The sequence below is a fragment of the Homo sapiens genome, chromosome 7, assembly GCF_000001405.40.
Source record: "Homo sapiens chromosome 7, GRCh38.p14 Primary Assembly".
Classification (NCBI taxonomy): domain Eukaryota; kingdom Metazoa; phylum Chordata; class Mammalia; order Primates; family Hominidae; genus Homo; species Homo sapiens.
Window position 1 is genome coordinate 17168696 of NC_000007.14, and position 27475 is coordinate 17196170.

A 27475-nucleotide genomic window follows, 5' to 3' on the forward strand; every position below is an offset into this window, starting at 1 on the left:
CTCATAATTCGAGGATTTGGGTGGAGTATTGCATCAATAGTGAGTAAAATTAGCTCTAGAATAAAGGCTCCTCCAATTATGTGTAACAAATTTAAAAGCAAGACTCCAAAAGACCAAACTCTTCCCATGTAACTTAACTGCTTCTTAGAGTAAAGTTCAAGGATATTAATAGGATTACAAAAATATCTAGCCTTCAACAAGGTAATATTCACAATTTAAAAATTGTCAGGCATGCAATGAAGGAGGAAAATGCAACTCGTATGAACAGAAAAATCAATCAAAACAAACTGGAAAGTGATGCAGATGAAAGCGCAGACAAGGACTTTAAAAATATATAACTAAGCCGGGCGCGGTGGCTCACGCCTGTAATCCCAGCACTTTGGGAGGCCGAGGCGGGCAGATCGAGACCATCCTGGCTAACACAGTGAAACCCCGTCTCTACTAAAAATACAAAAAATTAGCCGGGCGTGGTGGCGGGCGCCTGTAGTCCCAGCTACTCGGGAGGCTGAGGCAGGAGAATGGCGTGAACCCGGGAGGCGGAGCTTGCAGTGAGCTGAGATCGCGCCACTGGACTCCAGCCTGGGTGACAGAGCGAGACTCCGTCTCAAAAAAAAAAAAAAAAAAATCTATATCTACATCTATATCTATCTATCTATCTAAACTATGTTTTGTATGTTCAATAAGATGGAGAAAAATTTAGCATGTTAAGGGATGTGTAATATATCAAAAAACCTAAAATCAGCTTCTGGAGATAAAATCTGCAAAGTCTGGGATGAAAAGTTTACTGGAAGGGATTAACAGAAGACTAGGTACTGTAGAAAGATTAGTAAACTTGAAGGCATAGCAAATGATGGGGTTCAAAACACACTACCCCAAAATATGACACCTTGGCATATGGAGTATTGTAAGCTGAAGGAGGCTGAGAAAACCTCAGAAGCAGGAAGTTCTCTCTGACCTTCTCCTACCTTTCTCCCCTGAAGCACGTAATAAAGGCTAGAAAGAATCCTCTGACCTTCTGTCCCAATGCAGGTCATAAAACTTAGAAATAATATTCTCACCTTTCCTTGGAGGATATTATAAGACCCTCATATGAGAGGTACCCTCCCTGTACCCAAAGGCAAGGAAGGCCCTTCTCTTTGAAGACATAGGGACATAGAGAATAATCAAAACAAATAAGCCTCGCTAAATTTCCCCCAGTTCATCATCATTAGATCATACCCTCTTTGTCTAATTCTGCTTCTCAATGGCTATCCATTTCTTCATCAAACTTAGCATAAAAATACGTTTCCCTGTTTCTTTGGGTCTTCATTACTGAAGGCTCTCATGTCACATAAAATTTATTAAATTTGTATGCTTTTGTCTTATTAATATGTCTTTATCGGTTTTATTGTTAAAGCTGGTCAGGGACTCTAAGAAGGTCAAGGAAAATCTGCTTCCCCTACACAATTAAAATATCCAAAATGACAGAATGCAGAAGAGAAATGACTGACAAAAAGGCGCATCAATAAGCTTTGGAACAACTTCAAGTTACTCAATACATGTATAATTTGAGTCTATAAACTATAGAAGTGAAAAGGACATAAAAATATTTAAGGAAATGACTTAAAAATTTCCAAAATTCATAAAAATTATAAACCTACAGATGCAAGAAGTGAAATGAACTCAAAGAACAAGAAACAAGACCAGGAAAACTACATCAGGACATATAATAAACAAATTGTTTAAAACAAGTAATGAATTGAGCACATTAAAAGCAGTCAAAGGAAAAAAGATATGTTACAAATGGAGGAACAAAGACAAGGATGACAACCCATTTCTCATCTGAAACAATGCAAGCAAGAAGACAAGTAAGCAGTATCTTTAAGTACTTAAAGAACAAATCGGGTCAACATATAAACTTTCTGCAACAAAGAAAACCTGAAACAATTCAATAGCAGTGGACCTGCACTAAAAGAAATAGTAAAAAAAAATCCTTCAGACAGAAGCAGAGTGATAACAAATGAGATCTGTACCTAGAAAGAGGAATGAAGAATATAGTCATCTTTCAGTATTCATGAGGGACTGGTTCTAGGATCCCTGTTGGATACCAAAGTCCACAGATGCTCAAGTCCCTTGTATAAAATGGCATACTATTTGCATATAACCTACGAAAATTTTCTGTATACTTTAAATTATCTCTAGATTACTTATAATACCTAATGTAATAGAAATGCTGTGTAAATAGTTGTTATACTCTATTTTTTAGGGAATAATGACAAAAAAGTCTGTAAGTGCTCAGTATAGATACAGCCATTGTAGGCCTAACTACATAGTACAGGTCAGCAACAGTGTTAACATTTTCTGAAATTTTTAAAAAGTATGTTTGGACTACAGTTAGTTAAATCTATAGACACAGAATCTGCAAATACAGAGGGCTGACTAGAAATAAAATATATGCATATAAATATAAATTAATTTTAACTTATATTTTATCTCTTTAAAAGTAAATCAAGTATCTCAAGTAAAAATATAACAACATATTCAGGGGTTTGTAATATATGTAGAAATCAAATATATGACAACAATAGAACAAAATCTAGTGAGGGGGAAGTATACTGTTTTAAGGTTTGTATCTGTACATTAAGTGGTATAATATTACTCAAATGTAGATTGTGGTAAGTTAAACAAGTATACTATGAGCCTTAAAGCAACATTAATAACAAAATAGAACAAAACAAATAACTTTAGCTAAAATTCTTACAAAGGAGATAAAATGGAACCTTAAAAAAATAATTTATACAACGAGTTAGAAAAAAGAATGGAATAAGGAACATGGGGGAAATTAAGAACTAACGAGCGAGATGATACATTTATATTCAGTTCAATAATTACATCAAATGTAAATTATGTAAACATTCTAGTTTAAAGGCAAATATTGCTGATTTAGATAAAAAAGCAAGCAAGAAAATATGGTGCTTATATGAAATACACTTACATATGAAGACATAAATAGGTTAAAAGTAAAAGGATAGGAAAAAATACCATAAAAGTAGTCAGCAGAAAGCTGGATTGGCTATATTAATATCAAAGTAGGTGTCAGGGCAGAGGATGTTACCAGGGATAAGAAAGTTGTTTCATAATAATAAAGGGGTGAATTTATCAAGTGGCATTAACAATCCTAAATATTTATGCACTTAATGATAGGCCCTTAAAAATAGATGAAGCAAAAACAGAATTGAAAGAACTATGCAAACCCACAATTGTAGTTGGAAATTAACACCTACTTTAAGTAATGTATTGAATAAATAGATACAAATAGAATAAAAAGACACTATCAATCAGCTTTATCTAATTGATATTGATAGAACACCGCACCCAACAGCAGAATACACATTCTTTTCAAGAGCACATGGACATTTTACAAAGATATATATTATTGTTTGCTGTAAAATAAAATGCCAATAAATTAAAAAGAATCAACAAGTATGTCCACTGAACATAATGAAATTGAATTAGAAATCAATACCATAAAAATCACTCTAATATTTGGGAACTACAAATCATACTTCTTAATATCCCATAGGTCAGAAAAGAAAGAAGGGAAATTAGAAAAATATTTTAAACCAAATCAAAATGAAAAAGCAACATGGTAAAATTTCAAGGATGCAGCAGACACAGTGCGTAGAAGTAAACCTGTAGCAGAGAAAGCCTATATTAGAAAAAGAAGAAACTTCTGAAGTCAGAGTTTCATATTTAAGGAAGGAAGAAAAGCAACTCAAACTCAAATGTAGGCAGAAGAAAGGAAATAATAAAAATAATTGCAGAAATCCATAGAACACAAAACAAATATAATGGAGAAAATTAATAAAATCAAAAGCTGGTTCTTTGAGAAGGACAATAAAAGCAATAGAGTCAGACTGATGAGAAAAAAAAGGAAAAAACAGAAATTACCACTATTTGGAGGAGAAGTGACACCACTAGAGTTTCTATACACATTTAAAAAACATAGCAAGAGAAAATATTATTTTGGTAACTATGTTATTAATTTAGATGACTTAAATGAACTAGACAAAAACCTTGAAAGATGCAACCAAGAAAGCTCATTCAAGGAGAAACAGATAGCCTAAATAGTCTTATATCTATTAAAAAATTAAATTTTATTTTTACTTTCAAAAGTTTCCTTGAGCCCCACCTCCTTCTTTGTGGTAACAACACTTAGCATAAGATCTACATTCTTAGCAAATTTTTAAGTACTGTAGTCTCCCTTTATCTGCAGTTTCAGTTATCTATGGGTTAACATTGGTTCAAAAATATTAAATGGAAAATTTCAGAAGCAAACAAAAATTAATACCTTTTAACTGTATGCCATTCTTAGCATGATGAAATTCATATGCAAATAAACCAATAAACTCCAGAATACAGTATTCCACTGCCCTAATCACCCCAGGGCCAGGTACTAGGTAACTAAGGACAGCCCTAAACCCTAGAGCCCACTGAAATTATTCAAACTAGCCAAGCCTCACTCACCTTGCCATGCCTATCCCAGGGAAACCACACAAAAAAAGCATCATCCATGCTTTTCCCTCATTCCTTCTGCCTCCAGACTGACCCGGGTACCTCCCCAAGTGACCCAGCATGGCATGCCCCTTCCTTGGGAACTGTATGTAAGTTACTATCTATCTTTCCAATGGCAGTTCTCACCTGATCTGTTGGCCTCACTACACCTAATAAAAACAAAATCACAGCCACATTTTAAAATAGCACCATTTACTATGTGTAAGTTATATCTCAATACATTTATGAAAAGAAAAATACAGTAATTTAAAAACTGAAAGGCCCCTTTAAGAATCTTTATAATTTTTGTTTCCGTTTTCTTCTTCCCTCAGAGAGAATCCTTGTTTCTTCTTCAGGCTTTAGAGCAGAGTTCCTGATAGAACTTTCTGCAATTGTGGAAAAATTTTATATCTGTGCTTTTCAATATGCTAGCGACTTGCTACTTGTGACTGATGAGCAGTTGAAATGTGGTCATTTGAGGAACTCAATTGTTAGTTTAATTCAATTTCTACCAGTTTTAATTCAAATTTAGTCACATGTGACCAGTAGCTACTGTATTGGACTGTGTAGCTCTAGAGGTTGTTGATGTGATCTCCCCCAGAGCAAATATTCTCTTATTTTAGTAGATAGGAAATGGATTTGATCCAGTAAGGAATTAAATTGATTAATTGATTTGAGGCTGCATTTCTGTTTTGTAAGGCTCTATTTTGATTTGCTCTTACTCCTGGAGTATAGATCCTCACAGATCTCAGTTAAATTGTTAGTGGGACCAAACTCTATTTTTGTCTTAGTAGCCTATAATACTACTTTTGTTTGTTTCTTGCCCCATGCAATTTAAGAGTCAACAAATGCTTTGAGGGAAACAGTGGCACAAGGTTTCAAGCTCACTTTTCTGTGATTTTTCTTGGCTCCTTGATCTTGGCCCCTCAAGTTCTGGCTGTCATAATTATTCTCCAAAAACTTCAAAGAGCTGATGTTTGTAGCTTATCCAGTTTACATAGTTATTCTCAGCATGAAGATTAATTGATGCAAGCTCCATTACCATAGCAAGATGTGGAGATCCTCATAGGATTCGTCTGTAAAATATTACATATAAAGTGGCTATTTCGCTGACAATATATGTTTCCTCTTCTCTTTTCTTAACTTAGAATTAGCAGTAGGTCCTAATGTAATAGTAAAATTTGATTTTTGTAAACTTAGGAAGTCTAAGTAGTAAAATTTAAATTTCAGTAACTTCTCAGTGCCCTTTTTCCTGCTCAAGTTGTCTTTTAGTCGATTTATTAGGTGCTTGTAGTTTATCAAATCACCTCTCAGGATTTACTCCTTGCTCGTGATGTCTCTAGAGCTACCCTTCCCTCGCTTCAAAACTCAGTAGTGTCTGTCCCATATTCTCAATTCCAGTTCCTTTACTCTATGCTCTGAAAGCTTACCAAGCCCCTCCATTAAAGCAGAGTTAGCCATTAAGTGTCCTCCAGTCTCTACATGCTAGTGCCTTTCTGCATCTTCATTTTCCATGCTCCGTGTGAAGTGACTTTCTGAAATCCAGGCCTTGTGCTGTCACTTTACTGCTTTATACCTCTCAGTCATTCCCCATTACCCATAGGAAAAAGCTCAAACTCCTTGACATGGTGCATAAGACCTTTCATGTGCCAGTCACAGGTGACCTTTCCGGCTGCATTTTTAGCTTGACTTTCACATGCATCAAAAAGTTCAGTTTTTCCAGATGTTTTCAAGGAAATGGAGTTTTAATTTTTTTTCCCAGAACATATTATATCTGTCACATTCTTCTATTTTTGTCATTTGCTACTCTTTCTCTTAAATGCTCTTTCTTCCTCCTTTCCCAGAAGAAATTCCACTCACCCTTCACGGTCCGTGGAAGCATCATCTGCGTTGTGAGACCTTCCTTCTGATGTTTTTCTGCAGCTGGTCTGTTAGCTCCTGAGGCTTACGCTGTTTTCTTGTTCATTGTGTGTAATTTTCTTATATCCCCTTAGCACAGCCTTGACAAGTAGTAATTGCTTTACAAGTGTTTGTTTTATATAACTGAATTGCAGTGAATAGCGGGGCTTAGCCTGAGCTTCAGCTGATTCTTTAGACAGAAAACTAAGTATTTCAAGCCCTGCGTGTAAATCCCAGGTGAGGCTATTTTGGTCAGGTGAATGTTTTAGCACTTGTCAGCTCATAGCGTGGAGGTAGCGGCCAGCTTTCCCTCACATCTTGCGCCAATCCTGGATATCATAAATGATATTGTCATTTTTAAGCCCAACAAAGTTTTTTTTATACTCCCTTCAAAGGAACTAAGTTTTATACAGTTACATGTGGGAAAAGGCTGTATGTAAATACTAATGTCTTATAATTTGAGCCATAAGCTACATATGTACCTTGAAATTTACTTCTGAATTGTTATCACAGTATGTTACAGAGTAGCTCCATGATTCCTTAATAAATTAGCTGACTCTCAGCTTAGGGGAGTAAATTTTCTTGAATAATTGAGGTCAGAGGTATTTGGGTTACTTCTTAGATGAAGGTTATTTTCTAGCTTATGCTCTGAAGGTCTAAACTACAATGTAACTTTGCAAAACAGGCACTGCTTGTGCGTGAAGCAGTGGAAAGATGAGGTCTTAGTACACATCATGTAAGGTTTTTTAAATATACACTGTGCTATAAAATAAGAAAAAATAAGTGAAAACACTTTTAGGGTACACCCTAGGACATCTAAATAATGTTGGAATGGAAAAAAATAAAATACATTCAGTTATACTTGGGAGAGTTATAGAAAGAAAATAGACCGTCTCCTAGTTGAAAATTTGATGTCCCCTTGAAAAACTGCAGGTATTTATGTTGCTGTCTGCAGTTGGAACAGGACTAGTGTTTCCACTGTAGGAATGGATGGATGCAGCAACATGGACAGAGGCTCCGTTAAGTCATAGAAATTTGAGGGGAGTATAATCCCACGAGGAAAGCCACTGAGAACAATTCAGCTCCAAATCAGGAGGTAAACCAGGGCCAGGTAGGGGGAGTGACAGTGGATCTCTGAGGCATAGGCAAGGTGTTCTCTTCCTAGCTCCTAATACTGGAGAAAGCAACAGAGAATTTTTTCCAATGGATACCTTACTCCATAAAGACAATCTCAAAAAGGAAGCTGCTCAGATCTGTTCTATACTAGACTCAAGCAGAGAATTTCTGGAGCTGGTGATACCAATGGGCTGGGGTAGGTCCCCCAATGCTGTTGGTGGGAACTCCACCCCCAGCCAGTATCCAGGCTCTTGACACCATTGTGAGAAGGAATTTAAAGATGAGTCAGAACATAGTGAAAGCATGGAGATTTATTGCAAAGTGGAAAGTACACACTCAAGAAAGGGGAGCGTGGGCGTACTTGAGAGAGTTGAGCGAGAGGGTTTGGGGGTGCTACCTTTATGAATTTCTTCAACCAAGGGGTGGAATAATTCCTGAAAAAAGGTAGAGAGTTCTTGGAACTTTGGTGCCACCCATTTTTACACCTAATATGGATGTTCCCGGAACTGTCATGGTGCTGTTGGGTGTGTGATTTAGCGTGTTGAGCATATGACGAGGTCCTAAGTGAGACCTAGGTCAAATCCAGCGCCATATTAGGTGCAGTTGTTCTTACTGGTCTTGGTCGGCACCCTGTTTTTCAGGATCTTATCAGCCCATGGCCTTTAGTCACGTGAAACTGCCTGGAATGTTTTATTCTCCTGCGAACACCCTGTATTATTTCTGTCTTACTGGGATGCTCCCTTCCTCCCTAACTCAGTACCTCTGCTCACCCAGGAGCACGTACAGCTAGTGTCTTCCTGTGTAAGAAGTGGGAATTTGGATGGATAAATTCTGTGTTCCCAAAACTAGGTAGAAGGAACAAAATAAAATATAGGGCTGTATACTAAATGGGAAAGGCTTTATATTTACTGCAAAAACAGCATTTGTACATTGTAACATATAAGCCACTGATCAGCAAATGTATAATATCAAGGTGAAAAGGAGAGGCTCAATGAAATCTTAATTTGGATAGGAATTAGGTGATTGGGAGCATTCAGAGGATCCCAAAGAGTTTTTTTTTTTTTTTTTTTTTTTTTTTTAAAACAATTAGCACCTAAACTCTCACTTCCACACCAAGAAACTGCGATAATTCTTCTTGGGAAGTGAGAATCTCTATTACCCACCTCCCATTGAGACTCACTAGTGTTGTTTTCGATGATTTCTTAATTTAGTGGAGAGTTAATATATATGACTCTCTGTTGAGACATACCACGTGATAAACAATCATGTAAAATAGTCTCATGCACAGAATCATATTATATTCTCGTGATGTCTTCACAACATTGCACAGATGATGCTAAACGTACCAGTTTGGACTTTGTACTTTGAATTTGGCACTGGAAGGTGAAACACTATCTCTTTCAGCCTTTTTGACTTCCTTTGAGCTTCTTTTCTCTGAGATTCACTGAACTCAAGTATCTGATAAAATGGCACCATCGTCCCAATTTTCAGTTTTAGAAAGAGGACACATTTCACTATCAGTGCCAGCCTGTGCCACATTCCATCCATCAGGACTCAGATAGCCAGGGCTATAGGAAAATGCTTTAAGATTTTCCATCCAGGACTTGCACAGCTTTAGAGGAAAGAAAAAAGAAATTAGCTCCTGACCTGTGCCTTGAGTGGTAATAGATATTTCTCCAATTCATCATATATTTTGGATTTGTTCCCATATATTATTTAATTTTTAAAATGTATGTTAGATGGCAAAAACTGTTAGAGCCCTAATATGTGTCAATATTGACAGTTGTCAGATGAGAAATTTTCTCATGGAAATAGACTTAGTCATTTAACATAAACCATCACAGAGGAAAAATAAAAGTCAACAAGCTTTAAAACCTCCACCCCTAACAAATGTTATCCCAACAAATAATTTATTTTTCAGAGGACTAACATGACTTAAATTTATTTCATTATTTATTATATTAAGAAATACCTACTAAAAGATATAAAAAGACTGTCTAAGCTTCTCTAAGCCTTTGTAGAGAGCTGACTTTTTGAGGTGCCAACATTCCATACTTGCTGATCAAATGAAAAGCAACATGAAATGACACTCTATCTATAGCACATTTTTCATTCATTGCACAGAGCTGGGCTGAGGCTTGTTTTAAAAAGTAGCAGATTTTTTTTTTAAGAAGTGTATTTGTCTTTATGTGGTGACAGATAGTCTTTGAAATTATAAAGTATGGAATAGCAGAATTGGCCATTTGAAATCAGGAAATATAAATTTCCCCAAGTCAAATCTGAGAGACAGAGCTCACTCGAAGGTTCTTTAACATCATCACAGTACAGGCCTGCCACTTTGAATTCTGTAGCTCAGCTAGGAGGGCTAATCAATTCCTAAAGGCAGAGGGTCCATCCAATCAGCATTTCTTACTTTGATTGGGGTGTCAGGTGTATTAACATACGCAATTGATCTATACCACAGTGTAAGGGCTATGCCACATTCATGTACTTTGCACCTCATAAACAAGGATTATACTCAGGTGAATGAGACAAATTTTTCACTTTATAGCTGGGAGAAAAAGTTCGTAAAAGGAACTTTGTGCTGTGGAAGTAGTCAGTCATTGCACTCCTGAGAGGATATCATTAATTACAGTTATGATAAAGGTGAATAAATAGAGCCATGCAGTTATAAAATATATTTTACTGGTTGACAAGGTAAAGAAAAATTGATAGATAATACAATGTGTTGACAAGTCTATGTGGAAACTAGCATTCTTATACAGATACCTGGTTACTAGGCACATAAAATGGTGACACATTTTTAGGGAGTCAATGTCAAAATAAAGTTATGAAGAGTAGATTGGAGTCAGCAATTCTACTTTTAGAAATTTATTATGCACGTATATTTGCAAGGACATGAGGACATGATATTCCTTGCAATACTGTTGAAGCAGAAAAGGCAAACTAGATGTTTAATCAATGTGGGACTGGCAAAATTAACTGTGATTTATCCAAACAATGGAATACCATCTACCGGTAAGATTATATAGCAGTATAAATGCTATGTTCCCTTTTGGGTAAAAATAGGAATATATATTTATACATCCCCCCACCCCCCACACACACCATTCATGTAAAGTCCCTTATAAGCTTTTCTATGTATTATATCCAGGAAATATTTCTGGAAGGGTACATAGGAAACTGCTATACTGCTGCTTCTAGGAAGGGAAACTGAGGCCTGGAATGGGAAAGTGATACACTTTTTATTGTATTTATTATTTTATACAGTCAGAAAGTTTCTCTATGTCCATGAATTGTTTTTTATAGTTAGAAATATATATATTTCAGAAGTCAATTTTAAAATCCTATTTTTTTTGTCTTACATGTTACTGAAGATAAAATCTCCCAATAGGCTAATTGGACAAAAATTCCGGTTGTGGCCACCTCTTACTGTGTGAGAGGTTATGGCATTAAGAATGTTCAGGCCCTGGCCGGACGCGGTGGCTCACGCCTGAAATCTCAGCACTTTGGGAGGCTGAGGCGGGCAGATCATGAGGTCAAGAGATCGAGATCATCCTGGCCAACATGGTGAAACCCTGTCTCTACTAAAAATACAAAAATTAGGTGGGCGTGGTGGCACGTGCCTGTAGTCCCAGCTACTCTGGAGGCTGAGGCAGGAAAATTGCTTGAACCTGGGAGGCAGAGGTTGCAGTGAGCCAAGATTGTGCCACTACACACCAGCCTGGCGACAGAACGAGACTCCGTCTCAACAACAATAACAACAAAAAACAAGAATATTCAGGTCTCACCTGTGCCTTTCCTTCCTGGTCTTCTAGACAAATAATAATAACAATGTGGTTTGGCAGAAATGCATTTAGTTGTCATATACTTTCTGCCTAGAATTCTTCTTTTCTTTTGGAAATATCATCGTCTTTCTTTGGGAACCCCTCTTAACTCCCTCAACCACATGTGTCCAGCAACAGTTGGCAGTTTTTACCTGATTAGGCTTCCTTGGCCAGGATTCCCAGTAAGGACAATAGAAAAGCCCACCCTTCACTGAGCTTGTAATTAGGTTGATATTAAGTTGACACACACACACACACACACACACACACACGCACACGCACACATCAAGAACATTATTTTTCAAATTAGAAATAAGAATATTTTGAAAATGATTTAGGAATATACTTTTGTGTATGTTTGCACTGTAAATAGCACAAGATGCCAAACTCTGAGAATCGTATTTAGTGAGATTAAAAATTTAACATTTCTGTTTGAAATTTTGTTTAATTGTTTGGGTTTCTTTGAAAAGAAATTTTTCCATTAAAGATTCCAGAGATGCCAAGATGAAAAATATTGCTTTAACCACATTGGAGTAATACCAACAAGAATAAAAACAACAAAAAAGCTATGGGAATTATGTTACATATTTGCTTTTCTTTTTCATCAAAGCAAATATATTTTGTATTATACTGTGACCTCATCCTGGGACAACCTCTGAGAACTCATTGATTCCTATTCGACAGTTTATTATTTGCTTTCATGTTGCCTGTAATATAAATGCACCCAGCATAAAAAGTTTTTAGGTACCCATTTAATATGATGGGTATAAACATTTTACTGACCAGAACTACTGATATTTTCACCCATAAGAAGTCTCCTTTTCAGTCTGAAAAGTTTTCACTGAAGTATTTTGATATGTTCTAAATTAGCATTTTTTACAATAGCATTGATTAAAATAACAACATGAAAACACCATGAATATCCAACAGTAGGAGACTGGTTTAAAAGTAGAGGAAAGGTCAAGTAGAGTTGGAATGTTTCTTTTGAGAAAAGGGCAAAACCTAGAAATGTTGGTAGGATCCGATTAGTTGTGGTAGAGGGCGAGTTCAAATGCATGATGATCGAAACCTAGGGTCTGATGTCTTGTCCAACACGGAGAGATTGGAGGGTAAGTAAATAGACATACCAGCCAAGCTGGAATAGATATTCCCACCTGCAAAGTCCTGAATGATACTTTTGGAACTGTATGGTGGACCAAATTATAAGAAGCCATAAATGACATGATGATGATAGCAGTGCTGAAGCAAAAGAAATCTGGTGGCTCAGTGAAAAATAAACTGAACTGGGGAGAAAGCTATTTATATAATGCAACCTGAGGGGTGACAGAAACAATGACAGAAACTCATGACCAATCAGTTATTGCAATCGTTAACAATTACTAATATTTATTTATTTAGTACTTAGTATGGGAACAATCCTTGGTGTTTCAGAGAAAAAGTATCATTTCATTTCATTCTCATAATAACCATGAGGAAACTCTTATTACCCCTGTTTATGCAGGGAAGAAAAGAGAGGTTCAAAGAATTTAAGCAGCTTGTCCAAAGTACCCAGGTGGTAAGCAGTGGAGTCAGCATTTTACACTAGACTTTATAGCGCCACCATGCTGTGCTGCTTAACGGGGTTTGACGTCTTGACTCCTTCCTTATCCTGTGTCTCTGACCCACCCTTACCACTTTTGTCCTTCTCAACTCTCCTCTAACCAGGCTGCCCTCTTTGCTGTTCCTAAACAAGCCCCTTCCCACCCCAGCCTTCATTGCTCTTCTTCTTCCTGAGTCCCAATTCCTGAGTGAGCCAGCTGGCTTTTCCCTCACTTTCTTTGAGAACTTGCTCAAGCACCTTGTCAGTGAGGAATCCTGTGCCCTTCCTTTGTAAGTCAGTTTCCCAACTGTCCTAATATCTTTATCATTCTCTATTTTTCACCATAGAATGTATCTAACATGACGAACTATGTATTTACTCAATACTTGTTGACTGTCTTCCACGTCCCCCATTAGAATATAATATCCTCGAGGGTAGGAGATTGCCTGATATTGTCTGTTTTTTTCACCCCTTTACTTATTTCAACAGCAGGCACAAAGTGGACATTTAGAAAATATTCGTTGAATAGATGAATGAAGGGAACACACAAAACATTGTTAGAAATTTGGTTTAAGGACTTGTCCCTAAGCCAGCAAACCTATATCCTTTGCTAGACAGTCAGTCAGCCCATGATGGTGTAGATCGTATCTCTTCAGCTTTATATTCTCAATGTCTAGCACAGTGCAAAATAGAATTATGTACTCTATTAAAACTCGTGTCTCAAGCATGGTAGGTATCCACGCTAGACATGGATGGAAACTTTGCCTCCACCCACCTCAGATGGTGGCCCACTTGGAGTTTTCATTTTTCTGCCTGCTCACTCCTTTCTATTTGATGGCCAAAACTTGGATCTATGGGCTCCTGAGTCACTCATTTATTTACTGAATGCATCTCTACTTCTCTCCTTTCTCAGGGCTGTTTTTGTCTGCACCGTTTATTTGACATTTCTTATTTACTATTTTATCTTTAATTTTGTGTGCATTCATATCTTTTCTGTCCAACTTGATGTTTTAGTGATTTGTATCTCTCTGATATTACTTTGTATCATTTATAGAAGGATGTGCCTGAATTAGTAAATGAATGAATGAATTTGATGGTGAAAAACATTTTATGACAGGGAGTGAGAAAGAAGATAAAACAACCATGCCTAATGATTAGGTAGACAGAGTTAGCCACCTGAAGATTTAATTAACTTAAATAGAACTTACTTAATAGACTACTTACTGCAATCCCCCAAATACCTCTGGAACAGAGGCAGAGGTGAAATTTATAGCATCCTCTGAAAGCAGAATGTGAACGAGAAAACTCTCATAAGATTTTTTTTCTAAGTTTGAGTTAGTTCGTTCCTTTTTTAATTTGACTAGTTTTCATTGAGAAAGAAATTTTAAACAAAAAAAAACCCCTCAAATATAAAAATCACACAGAATATTTTAAGTACATTACTTATTAATGTGTGTTTTAGGCAGTGTTCCCTTTTTATGTTTATGAAATTTTATGCTTGCTTTTCTGTTTCAGTATACATAATACTAAGGGGTAGGAACGCTATTTGCAATGACTGGTTGCCTGAAGCAATGCTAACCTCATTTCTGTATATTCTATAGAAGGGAATGACTGTGGATGTTAAGAAGCTCAGAAAAGGAGGGTTCTTGGAGAAATGAGGTATGTGGCTGGGTGCGGTGGCTTATGCCTGTAATCCCAACACTTTGGGAGGCCAAGGCAGGTGGATCACAAGGTCAGGAGTTCAAGACTAGCCCGGCCAATATGGTGAAACCCCGTCTCTACAAAAAATGTACAAAAAAACAAAAAACAACTAGTTGGACATGGTGACATGTGCCTGTAGTCCCAGCTACTAGGAAGGCTGAGGCAGGAGAAGCGCTTGAACCCAGGAGGTAGAGGTTGCAGTGAGCCAAGATTGAGCCACTACACTCCAGCCTGGGCAATAGAGGGATACTCCGTCTAAAAAAAAAAAAAAAAAAAAAAAAATGAAGTATGTACTTTTGCTGAAAAAAAAAATGCAGTCAGAGTCCAATTTGGGGATATGCTAAAAGCACATAATTGGGGAAGCTTGTGCTAGTGCTCATGAAGTATAATTCTTTTGAGAAATGACACAGTGCCTCTTAAAAACTATCGAGCTCTTACCAAAAAAATGCTCAATAAATCACAAACAGAATGCATGTGACAAACTAAATGAATACAAGCAGTTCCAAAGATGTATGATTCAGAAGGTTGACCCAGTTGCTAATGGTCTGATTAGCTGGAACAATTTCTATCTAGAGTGTGCCAGAAACAATCTGAAAGTGATCAGAATAGGCATTTAAAGTCAAAACCAAAGCGTTTGCCATACATTCAAAAACTACTTTCTGACTTGTATAAATTAATTTCACTGTCTCCTGATAGGTTTTGGCTCACCATGTCAAATTCTGGCAACTTAGGGTTATTATCTATTTTATTTGCCTCTAGAGAGAAAAGCTCTCACCCAGATACAGACATCTGTTTGCTCTTAGCACTATTGTTTCTTTCTGGGCTTGCCAACTTTGTCACTTTAAATGTGGCATTTAAAATATTCTTTCAATATGACAGCCTAAGTATAGCTTGTGATAAAAAGCAATCCTCTAAGCAAAGTTGGGCAAAAACAATTTTTGAGAACAAGAAAGCAGGTCAATATGAAATGAATATGTTATACTCAGAAATGGGATCTGTGAGTTCTTGTAGTCTCATTTAACAAATGTCTTTTTGATAGGCTTAATTATAAATCAATAAAAGTGTTAAAGAGGAAATCCCTGATGCTTAAAAAAATTATTTGTTGATTTAATGTAATTTGTCGTTAAAATAATTGCCTCTAAAGATAGTATATCAAGCACACTAATGAATTAAAAATGAACTTAGCAGTTAAACAAATTTTCATGTAAAACATTAAATCTATTTTGAAAATTCACACATTGCTAGATTCAATTTAAAAATTAACCTCAAGCCAGTTTAGAGATGTATGTACTGTAATTTATGTATTATAAAAGTTATAATGTATATTTGCAACAATTCATTTGGGACTATAAATAACCATAATGGCACCAAGAAAAAAGGTGACATCTGAAATTTATTTATCTAAATGATACAGATTTCTAACAATGTAAGATCATTTAGGTTGTCTCCAAAGACAGAAGTAATACGCAACTATATTGGATTGGATGTGCTAAAGACAGCTGAGAACTAAATATCTGCCATTAAGTCCCCAGAGCTCATATCAGAAATGGCATGTTGTCCTCATAGAGATGTGGACTCAACGGTTTGGTAAATATTTTTATGTACATGTAGACTCAGAGGGGACATTTGGCAGTCATGCTGGCAGCTTATTTTCAAATAGTCCAAAGAGTAAAGGAATGTTTATTTTGAAATTACTTTTCGGTTTAAGTACTTTAAAGCCTAGTGTTACCCAATCAGAAGTATGTGTGTGTGTTGAATTTAAAGCAATACATTAAACCTTCTTTTCTTTCTAGAGTAACAGAACTAACAAACATTAAAGGTGTCTTTTGCTGCCACTTTAAGGCTGTTTAATTAAAATTAGAAAGACAATTAATGGGGAAATAAACCAGCATTCACAGAGAGAGTGCAGGCCTGCCAAAGTGAAAAGGTTTTATTTAATAAGGAAATAGGGAAACACCTAAAATCGGTTGTTTATTTCCATTGTTCCTGGAAAAGAATTAAGATTTGGGATTCCAAATACCATCAGAAATGACTGCCTTTGGGGTATTGTTGCATAAGGAAAAGGCTTAAATATCTAAAAATTAAATCCCATTGTCAGATGCATAACAATAAACAATGAGAAGGTTAAAAATGACTATGCTTTTTCAAAGAGCTGAATCTCTGCCATGGCCAATAAATTAGATTACTCATTTCTAAACTACAATTATCTAATGTTGCAGGAACTGACATTTACTTATAAAAGGAATACTTAGTAATGATGACAAAGTAATGATGCTCTCTGGACTAGATTATTGTATGATTTTTATGCTTCCTGATAATAGATATATGATTGTTTTATCATTACTATGTATTTTTGGAGTTCTTTAGTACTTTCATTTAAAAAAAAACTTTCAAGTTCCAACAAAATAAAAAATAGGTCATGGCTTTCTCCGTGCTTTCTTCAGTTTCCAAGAGTGTATGTCTAACATGTGATTTGGTCGGACTGGCCTCCTGTGGACTATCTTTGACTGACTCATATGGTTCATTCCACTTCCCCTTCTTAAGGGTAAGGTTCATATCTTTAAGCAATTAGAAAAAAAAAGCCTACCCTGTTGAAAATAAAACTTACGTTTGAGGTAACACATTAAGACTACACTGCAGTAGATTATAGCCACTTATTCAATCAAAAGCATACAGTATGGCTTTTAACTCCTACTCTGTTTTGAGGCGGGGAGGTGAAGCAACCAGGATATATTAAATAACTATACCAGAGAGAAGAAAATGCTGCAAAAATGAGAGAATAAGACAGAAGGCAAACTTTCTAAACTTCTCAGCTTCGCTGTGAATTGGCTTTGCTTGGATTGTAACTGGGAGGAAAACTGAAAAGGTTAATGGTAGTAGGTTTCTTCCTTGAAGCTGACAAGATTTACACTTTTTAAGAAAAGGATTTATACTTTTAAAGAAAAGCAAAATCTATAAAAAGGGGCCTCATTTCTCAGATGTGGTCTTTGAGATTATCCCTCTACACTTGGCCTGTCTCTATCTTTGTCTCCTAATTTTCTAAACGCAGAAGTCATCCCTATTAAGCCCTCACATGTCTGCTCAGCCCTGGCCTGCATGTCCTGTCTCAGGGTGACAGGTTACTAAGGGCTAGAGAAAATATTGGGAGTATATCCAGTAGTTCAGACACACAGCCTTACAAGCATTCTTTTTGTGGGTTCAGCCCTGGCCCTGTTGACCCTCAAGTGTCCAGCCCTGGATCCTGGTTTTGAGTCCCAGCTCTGTCACAGATTCTTAGCACTGTCCTGGCCCCACCACTTACACGGCTCTGCAGCAGTACCCTGAAAACTGCTGGCTTTTCTCTCTGACACTAGTGCCTTCTCATTTAGACTTGCTTTTATCTCATGTTCCAATCATGACTGGCTTGATAATATGAAACTTACAGATCCTCAGATCATCTCCTTATCCTGGCTCTGCTTTCTGGACACTTGGCTCCATGGTTCCCTCTACTTGGCTTCTCCTTTGTCCATCCATTTTTCAACTTCCACCAGCTTCAGGGGTCTGCCCAGATTCCCGACCTCTATCCCCATCCTGATATCTCCTGGCCAGGACATGTGGGACCACACTGCCATCACCTGGGACCTTTACACCTTGTTTTATCCAAGTAAAATAGAAGTAAATAGGTTTTTTGTTACTGTTGTTGTTGTTGATTATTAAAGTTTCATATTTTATTGACATACTAAGATTGGCTTTAAGTCATTAAATCATAAATCTTTAACAAAGATGATAGAAAATTCAAGTTATAATGATACATCAGGATCAAACGGAATTTGCCCCAAATGGTTCATACATGTTTAATATGTTTTTCACTTAGCTCTAAGCCATCAGTTTCAGTCATGTTTTCTGGTAGGAGAAAAGGAATCAGCTTTATTACATGACAGGCTCACAGAGTCATCAAATAAGTCATCTGATTGGCTCTTACTAGATATATACTGTAAGGTCTGATTAGGAGCACCCTGCCTGCCATCAAGTGGGTGGGGGAGAAGGAAACTGAGCTGACCACTGCATATGTCTCAATAATTTCTTGCTCTTTAGCAAAACTCTATGAGCTTCAGGGGGGTTATGAGGGGGGTGTTCTTAATAATTTCTAGAAGTTAATCCATGATACTAAAGGAATTTGTCAATTATTTTTTGTCAGAAAAAAATTATGGTCTCAAATGGCTCATATATCCCTCTAAAAAATCAGATTGTAGAATGTAGAACCATCTAAATATAAGCATATTAATTCACCCCAATGCTGAGGTGAGTAAAGCTGGAGATTTTCACATCTTCACAGCAAGAGAGCAATTAGTCAAAATTACAATGAATCAAAACTTGGAAAATTTTCCTATCAATTTCCTCATGAAACTGAATGTCTAATAAACCTTTTCTAAAAAACCAGGATAGCATATTTCTATGCTTTTTAAAAAATTGTTGAACATGAATATCAACAAATAGGTTGTAGTAAAATTACTTTAGTTATAAAACTACATTATATTGTGATTTCATTTTTATTCAGCTAAGTTAATACTGATCAATTCTCTAAACTACATTTATTAACAAAGGCTAGAATACAAAATATTAAGTCAAAAATAACATTGATTTGTAGTCCAGCTGATTTGTGTCTGAAGAACACATTTCAAAGTTTGGTCATTTAAAAAGCAGTTCTCTTTAGTACTACTCCTTCATATTTAGGATACAAGAGAATATAGGAAATAATAGAATTGAATACTAAGAATTTTTATATCCAAATTTCTTATTTCTTTCTACAATAAATAAGTTTCACCAATCTTTTCCATCAGAAATATCTTAAACTTTTTTCTTTGGAGGGGAGATTTCTTAATGGGAAAATAAAATCTATTTTATTGAAGAGTTGGCTTTTAACAAACTGGTGAATCTGAAATTGGTACCAGGAAACCCTCACTGTGAAGGTAACCAATACTTACGAAGGACTACTGGATAAAATAATTTGGTGATTGGTACTCCTTATCTTCACCAGGAGAGAAAAAAAGGCAAATATAGGACAAGCAGGATATACTTTTGTCCTACAATGAGTCCATGTAGAATTTGAAATTAGATCTATCCTCCTAACTTTAAATCCCTTGCAAACTTAGTGAGTGTCACCGAGTCTGAAGTGTTTTAAAAAAACTTACCGTATATATTTAGGGTTTAATACATGATGTTTAGATATACATGCAGATAATGAAAAGGTTACCATAGTGAAGCAAATTGACATAGCTATCATCTCGCAGTTACCCTTTTTTGTTTTTGTGACATGATCACCTAAAATTTCCTTTTAGCAAAAATCCTGAGCACAGTACAGTATTTAAGTATAGTCCTCATGTTTTACATTAGGTCTCTAGATGTGTTCATCCTACCTATCTGGTACTTTATAACCTTTGACTTACATTTTCCCACTCACCTCCTAATGCTACAACAAACATGAGTATACAATTTTTCCCTTGAGATCTTATTTTCAAGTCTTTTGGAAATATACACAAATGTGGGCTTGTAGGATCATATTGTAATTATATTTTTAATTTTAAAAGGAATTTCCATATTGCTTTTTATAGAGGCTATGCTATTTTGTATTCCCACCAACAGTATGGAGTCTTAGGTTCTCCATATCCTCACCAACACTTATTTCCTCTTTTGACTTAAAAATAAAAATAAAAAACAATGTAAGGTAATATCTCATTATGGTTTCAATTCTCATTTCTCTAATGATCATAAGGATGCAGAATATTTCTCATATGTTTCCTGGCCATTTGTATATCTTTGTAGAAATATCTAGTCCTGTGTCCATTTTAAAATTAGATTGTTTGTTTTTGTTGTTATTGAGTGGTAGGAGCTCTTGATATATTTTGGGTATTAACCCCATATCAGACACATGGCTCACAAATATTTTCTCATTACATATGCTGTCTTTTTACTGTTGATTGTTTCCTTTGCTGTGTACAATTTTGAAAGTTTAATGTAGTCTATTTTGCTTTTTTTTTTTTTTGTCTGTGCTTTTGGTGTCATATTGAAGAAATCATTGCCAACACCAGTATTATGAAGCTTTCCCCCTATGTTTTCCTTTAGGAGTTTATGGTTTCAAGTCTAATCCATTTTGAGTTAATTTTTGTGTATTGTCTAAGGTAAGGTGCTAACTTTATTATTTCGCTGGTGGATGTTCAGTTTTCCCAACATTATTTGTTGAAGAAACTACCTTTTCCCTATTGTGTAACCTTCACACCTTTGTGACCATATATGTGAGGGTTATCTCTGGGTTCTCTATTTTGCTCTATTGCTCTATATGTCTGTTTTTATGCCAATAACACTGTTTGGATTACCGTAGCTGAGTAATATGTTTTGAAATCAAGATGTGTGAAGTCTCCAGCTCTGCTTTTCTCTTTCAAGATGGTTTTGGCTGTTCAGAGTCCCATGAGATTCCATACAAATTTTAGAATTAAAAAAAAATTAATGCCATTGGAATTTTGATAGGGAATTCATTGAATCTGTAGATCACTGGGTAGTGTGGATGTTTTAATAAGATTAAGACTTTGAATCCATAAACGCAGGGTTTCTTTGCGTTTTTGTATGTCTTCTTTAATTTCTGTCAGCAATGTTTTGTAGTTTTCTGTATACAAGTCTTTCACCTCCTTGGCGAAGTTCCTTTTTTTTTTTTTTGATGCTATTGATACTATTGTAAGTGGAATTGTTTTCTTTCACTTTTCATAATCTACTTTTCAGATTGTTCATTGTTAGTATATAGAAACACAACTGATTTTTTGTGTGCTAATTTTATATACTGTAACTTTGCTAAATCGTTTATTAGTTCTAGCAGTTTTTTGTGGAGTCTTTAGGGTTTTCTACATACAAGAGATTTTTTTGTAATTTTTTTTTTTTTTTAGCTCATCAACTATTGTTAGTGTATTTTATTTGTGGCTCGAGATAATTATTCCAGTGTTTCCCAGGGAAGCCAAAGGACCTGTCAAAGAGACAGATATGTAGTAAATAGTCACAAAATTTTTGAATGCATGCTTGCATGCATGAACAAATGAGTGAATAATCTGATGATGTTTATAAGCATAAAAATTTACTCTTAATATAAGTTTTAAGCACCTCTTTAGCTTGAGATTCTGGAGCTCTCTCCATTTTGCTTTATCACCTAGAAATAGGAAACTACTTTTATGTCCCTAAACATGGTATATTGTTTCATGCCTGTATGAGTGTGCTCCTGCTGCTCCTTCTGCTTAGGATGGTTCTTCTCCACTTGGTACAAATGGCAAGGTTCTATGTATCCATTAGTACACAGCTGGAAGGCCAACTTTCCTGTAAAGCCCTCACTGCAACTCCTCTTCAGAGAGGAAAACATCCCCGACTCTGAGCTATATGCATGCTTTTGACCTTGCGTATGCTTCTGAGATTCACTGTACCACACACTTTTTTGCATATATCTTGATTATATTGTACAAATCTTTAGGGAAGGATCAAAGGCCCTCTATTCTTTGTTTTACATAACTTACACTGTCGCTGGTATTCATCAGTATTTCAAGAAGAAAAAGTTGAATATTATAGAAGCTAATAGAGGTGAGGATTAAGAAGGAGGGGCTACTAGTTGGTACCATATGTAGGAAATGATTCAGAGATACGATAATTAATTTGGAGAGTAGTATTAATAGAAAAAATAATAATGCTAGCCTTAGACACAAGGGGATTTAGAGACAAGAGACTATATGATAAGCAAGAGGATGATATAGTCATTTTTGTTAAGCATATAAGATATGCCTATAATAAGAATTGCTTTATTGATAATACGTCTAATATTGAATATCTAATATGAAATATATGTGGAGGGCATTTTCCCTCCTTCCAGGTTCCCATCCATATATATGAAAACTCCCTTTAGCATTGTTTTAAAATTTGATATGCAACAATTGTGAACCACGATTTTAATTGGCCCTCAATTGATCACTATGATATTTAATTTTTTTTATCAAATATTGTAAATTTGATCCTATAGTGTGGCTTTTATGGAAGGCAGTCTTCACCACAGACCTTGATGAAAGACTATGCTTATCACATGAAAGATTGGCATTAGGCAAGCAGTTTGAAGTGTCAGGTATTTGTAATTCAAAAGATTAAGCACGAAGCTTTAGGAAAATACAAATGAAATTAAATGTGAACTGTTTAACCTCAAGTACCCTTTTTCACACAACCAATTTACACATGTTTGGCAAGTATGTCCAGGCTCAAAACCTTGAAACCAAGCATGCTGCAAAACCATATGTATATGATTTATTAAAAAACAGTTACAGATGTATTGGACAAGTTCTAAAGTTGATTCTGTAAGCAGAACTAGTGGAAGAGCAACATAGTGTGTAGAGACATGGTTAAGATCATGAGTTCTGCAGTCAAACTCTTAGTTCAAAGCTCATTCCACCCCTTAATCCTATAAGATGAGCAAAATTACTTAATTTCAGTTTTATCATCTATAGACCTTGAGATCTCAATAACACCAAGCTCGGTGAGTAATTGTGAAGTTGAAATAAGATAACGTTTTGAATAATGTCTAACACATTTTAAAGACTCAATAAACATTTGCTGTTATTATTCTACACAAAGGAACATTAATGACAATATAACCAAATTAGAACAGAGAGCCATTTGTTAAGATTGTTAATAAAACCTATTGTATTTATTTCCTACTCCATGCCAGGTGCTGAGCAAGGTGCTCTAGGTAAATAATTTTGCTTACCTTCACATTATGTTATGAGTATTATTAACCCTATTTTATAAAAGAGGAGATTAACACTCAGAGATGTTACACAATTTGCTCAAGATCATGGAACTAGTCAGTGCAGATACAGGTTTTAAACCCAGGTATGTTAGACTCCTAATCCTGTACTCTTTGCATACTTTTTTAAATAATGGAGTTTAGAGTCTGACAAATGGAAAAGTTGAAGAAATGGTCCTTCATTGAGTACTTGTTAATTGTACTATTGTACGCTTTCACATCAGCCTATGCTACATCTCAAAGTTTAATCAAATCAATTTCCGAACCCAGGAAAAGATATATGAAAAAAAAGAGTACACCAAATATGGTTTCTCTAAAATAGCCCTGGGTTCTCAAAAGGAATAACTGACCTTGGTGCAAAAGTTGAAACAATGCCCCTAATTCTGTTAGGCCACTTTATGAAATCTGGGGATTAAGAGCTTTGTATAGCAAAATGCTATGGGGCCAGAAAGCTTCTCCCTCTATTCCATGGGGCAGTGAGGTGAATGGTGTACAATTAGGGAAGGAAAGGGAGGCACCTAAACTACAATCAAAAGAGACAAGGCAATGTCTGGAAGATAAAACGGTAAGATGAAAGAAATTTCTGGATGGCCAGGGGTCAAGGTAGAGCTATTAGAAGCTAATAAATTGATATTACCTTCAAGGAAACATGGAGCTAAACCCTCAAAAGAAGTTCTTCGAACATACTCTTTTCCTAAAAATAAATCAATATACCAAGGCCCACCAAAGTTCCTGTGCCCTTACTCCCCATCTGTCCCCATTCAGTATCAGAACTTTCACAACTGTGGTTTCCATGGCCGCTCAACTTGAATTCAATGTCTCTGATTTTGGAAACCTAACATTTGACCCTCTGCTCCCACTTCTTACTAGCAAGACTCCTTTGTTCCCACTCAATTCCTCTTCTATTTACTGCCAATCAAAATTATTAGAATCAACAAGAAGAAAACCAAATAACGCTGTTAAAAAGTGGGCAAAGGACATGAACAGACACTTCTCCAAAGAAGACATACAAGCAGCCAACAAACATTTTAAAAAATGCTCAACATCACTAATGATCAGAGAAATGCAAATGAAAACCACAGTGAGACACTGTCTCACATTCATCAGAATGGCTATTATTAAAAAGCCAAAAAATAACAGATGTTGGGGGGGTTGCAGAGAAAAGGGAATACTCATAAATTGTTGGCAAGAATGTAAATAAGTTCAGTCCCTATGAAAGCAGTGTGGAGATTTCTCAAATACATCAAACTAGAACTACCATTCAATCCCATTAGTGGGTATATACTCAAAGGAAAATCAATTGTTCTACCAAAAATACACCTGTACTTGGTTTATCACAGCATTATTCACAATAGCAAAGACATGGAGTCTACTCAGCCCAATAGTGGAATGGATAAAGAAAATGTGGTACATATAATCATGGAACACTACACTGTTATAAAAAAATGAAATAATGTCCTTTGTAGCAACATGGATATAGCTGCAGGCTGTTATCCTAAGTGAATTAACACAGAAACAAAAAAAATCAAATACCACATGTTTTTTCTTACAAGTGAGAGGTAAACAGGGGGTACACATGCACATGAAGATGGGAACAATAGGCACTGGGAACTCCAAAAGAAGAGAGGGGAAGCAGATAAGGGTTGAAAAACTACCTATTGGGTACTATATTCACTATTTGAGTGATGGGTTCAATAGAAGCCCAAACTTCAGCATCCATGTAACAAACCTGCACATGTATCCCTTAAATCTAAAGTAAAAATAAAGTTGTCTTAGAGAAACTAAATTTCCAATGTTTCTCTGAGATGTACCCCCACTCTGTTTGTGTATCTGTTCACTTTTTTTTTTTCTCCACAGGTTGCCACAACCCTAACTTTCCTGGCCAAATTCAAAATCTAAAATATTGCATACACACACAAAAAATAGGTTTCAGTCCTTGGAAAGAGATGGTGCTTGCTTCGTGGGTTAGGCTAGCAGGTGATAGACCAATCCGAAATAAGCAGGCGAATAATAAAATAAATTATAAGAACGCTATTTAAGAGTTTATTAAAATAATATGGTGCAAAGCACGTTATATTGGCTATCTCGTTTAATTATTACATTCTTTGAAATTGGTATTATTTTCCTGATTTTACATGTGAAGAACTGAGGCTTATGAAGGTCAAATACAGTGTCAAAAAATCTAAGGCATCTGACATTGGGATAATGTGGAGTCCTGACCCCCTCCCTGCCCAGGGTAGTTACTGGAGGTAGTGGCGCCAGGAGACCTGCTGGGCGGCTGACTATGTCCTCTTTCTTGATCTGGGTGCTGGTTACATAGGAGTGTTTACTCTGTAAAATTTCAAAAAGTTTTATATGCCTTATATGTATGTTATAATTCAATAAATCTTTAAATTTTTAAAACTCTAATAATGTTAAAAATACTTGTTCAAGGTCGCCGTGGAAGAGCTGAAATATAGTGGAGATCTGCCTGCCTGCAGAGCCCAAATATTTAAACTGAGCACACTGCCTTCTATTTTACAGCCTCACCAGATAATGTAAAGAGTGTGACACTGAATCTCCTTAAAATCTGGGGTTATTACTGTCTGAATAATCGCCTCAGGGAACCAGACTGGTTCCTTATATAGTGGAAAAACGGGCAAACAATCATTGCAGAAGGAAACACTTATTATGGATTTGGGAAAAGAGGATGTTGAAACTGAGTCTCAGCCGCTGCTGCAGCAGGAACCAAGGCTTGGTTTCCAGGGGCCTCAAAGGCTGTCAAAGAGAAATTACTTGACACTCAACGTTGAGTTTAGGTTTTTCTTCCATCCTAAACCTGGGTCGAGCACAATAAATTGGACTAAAATTCCATGACCCTGGACTGGACAACAGAGTGGAAATGAGGCTAACCTTCATTTAGACTCATTATTAGGAACTTCACTCAAAAAGAAAGGAAAAAGATCCCCCCAAAAGCATCTAAGCCAAAAATGAAGTAGAAAAAGAAAAAGAGGAAAAGCTTCAAACCAAAAGGGCTAGTCAGAGAGGTGAAAACCTATAGGGCACAGTAGACCTGAAACCACAGGAAGCTAAACAGAGTGAGAAGGCTCTGGTTTTTTATTGGGGGCAAGATTTGGAAAGATTTCTGAAGTGCTATGTTTTTATCCCCAGGTAGGAGCAAACTATGCAGGGCACCAGCTGGTTTGGGCCCCTCTGCGGTGGCATCCCAAATGGAGCTCCTTTTCTCTAAGCATTTAGTGACTACATGCTGCTTGTCCCACAGGGAAAAAAGTGGGTCATAAAACTTGTTTTCTGTTTCCTAAAATGCCTAATAAAATGCTTTCACAAATTCTGCATGTCCAGAGTCAGTGACATAAGGCACACTGGTTCCAATAAAGCCTTTTACGAAGTATTTGACACCTGTCCACAGCTCTATTTTGACCTGGGACAAATCCAGAAAAATATGGAAACTTCACCAGTGCCTTTCCAATAGGTGTTTCCCAAGCTTCATAGACAAGTAATCGCCATGCTTTTTCCACTGAAATATTTACTTCAATGTCACTTTGAGCATGGCAGGTCTTAGCTTAACCAGGCCATGGTTTTCATTCCCTTCTGCAGAATTTGCATAAAACTTAGTCAGAGCAGGGCAACACACTGGTGGATCTCAGCAGCGCTTCCTTCTTTAGTTGTCTGAAATACTTTATGGCAGGCTGCACACAGCTCATCTTATTTCCATTGCTTTAGACACATATGAGGTGTTAACATCATTTAATTTTTCTACCATAAGGGAGAGGCTCTGTCCCTCAGGAGATAACATATTTGGACTCAGTCTAGGAAGTTAACACAAACCACATTTTAGTACCTGAAACTTTCAAATCCATGCTGGCAAAAAGGAAAGTCAAAAGTCAAAATTATTGTTGGTTACAAAATGAAATCAGAACAGGGAGAAACAGTAATTGCCAAAAAAAAAAATTAACCAAATCTAAAACTTTTTTGTGTCTGACACTGAAAGGCATGATGAATGATTATGATAAAATGGCG

The 27475-nt window shown here is 36.2% G+C and overlaps 2 long non-coding RNA genes across 2 annotated transcripts in view, besides 1 other annotated feature; one reads left to right on the forward strand and one right to left on the reverse strand.

Moving 5' to 3' along the window:
* LOC107986772 (uncharacterized) overlaps nt 1-27475 on the forward strand; it is a 129008-nt gene that overhangs the window by 68892 nt on the left and 32641 nt on the right. The gene's annotated exons all lie outside the window — the stretch shown is intronic.
* The window catches only part of LOC101927609 (uncharacterized), a 164409-nt gene that overhangs the window by 33784 nt on the left and 103150 nt on the right, over nt 1-27475 (reverse strand). The window lies entirely within an intron of this gene.
* Nucleotides 17227-17296: an enhancer, noted in NCBI's record as "active region_25672". NCBI's record gives its function as "activates an Ori minimal core promoter by ATAC-STARR-seq in GM12878 lymphoblastoid cells {active_cell/tissue: GM12878}" and the evidence as "EXISTENCE:reporter gene assay evidence [ECO:0000049][PMID:35858748]".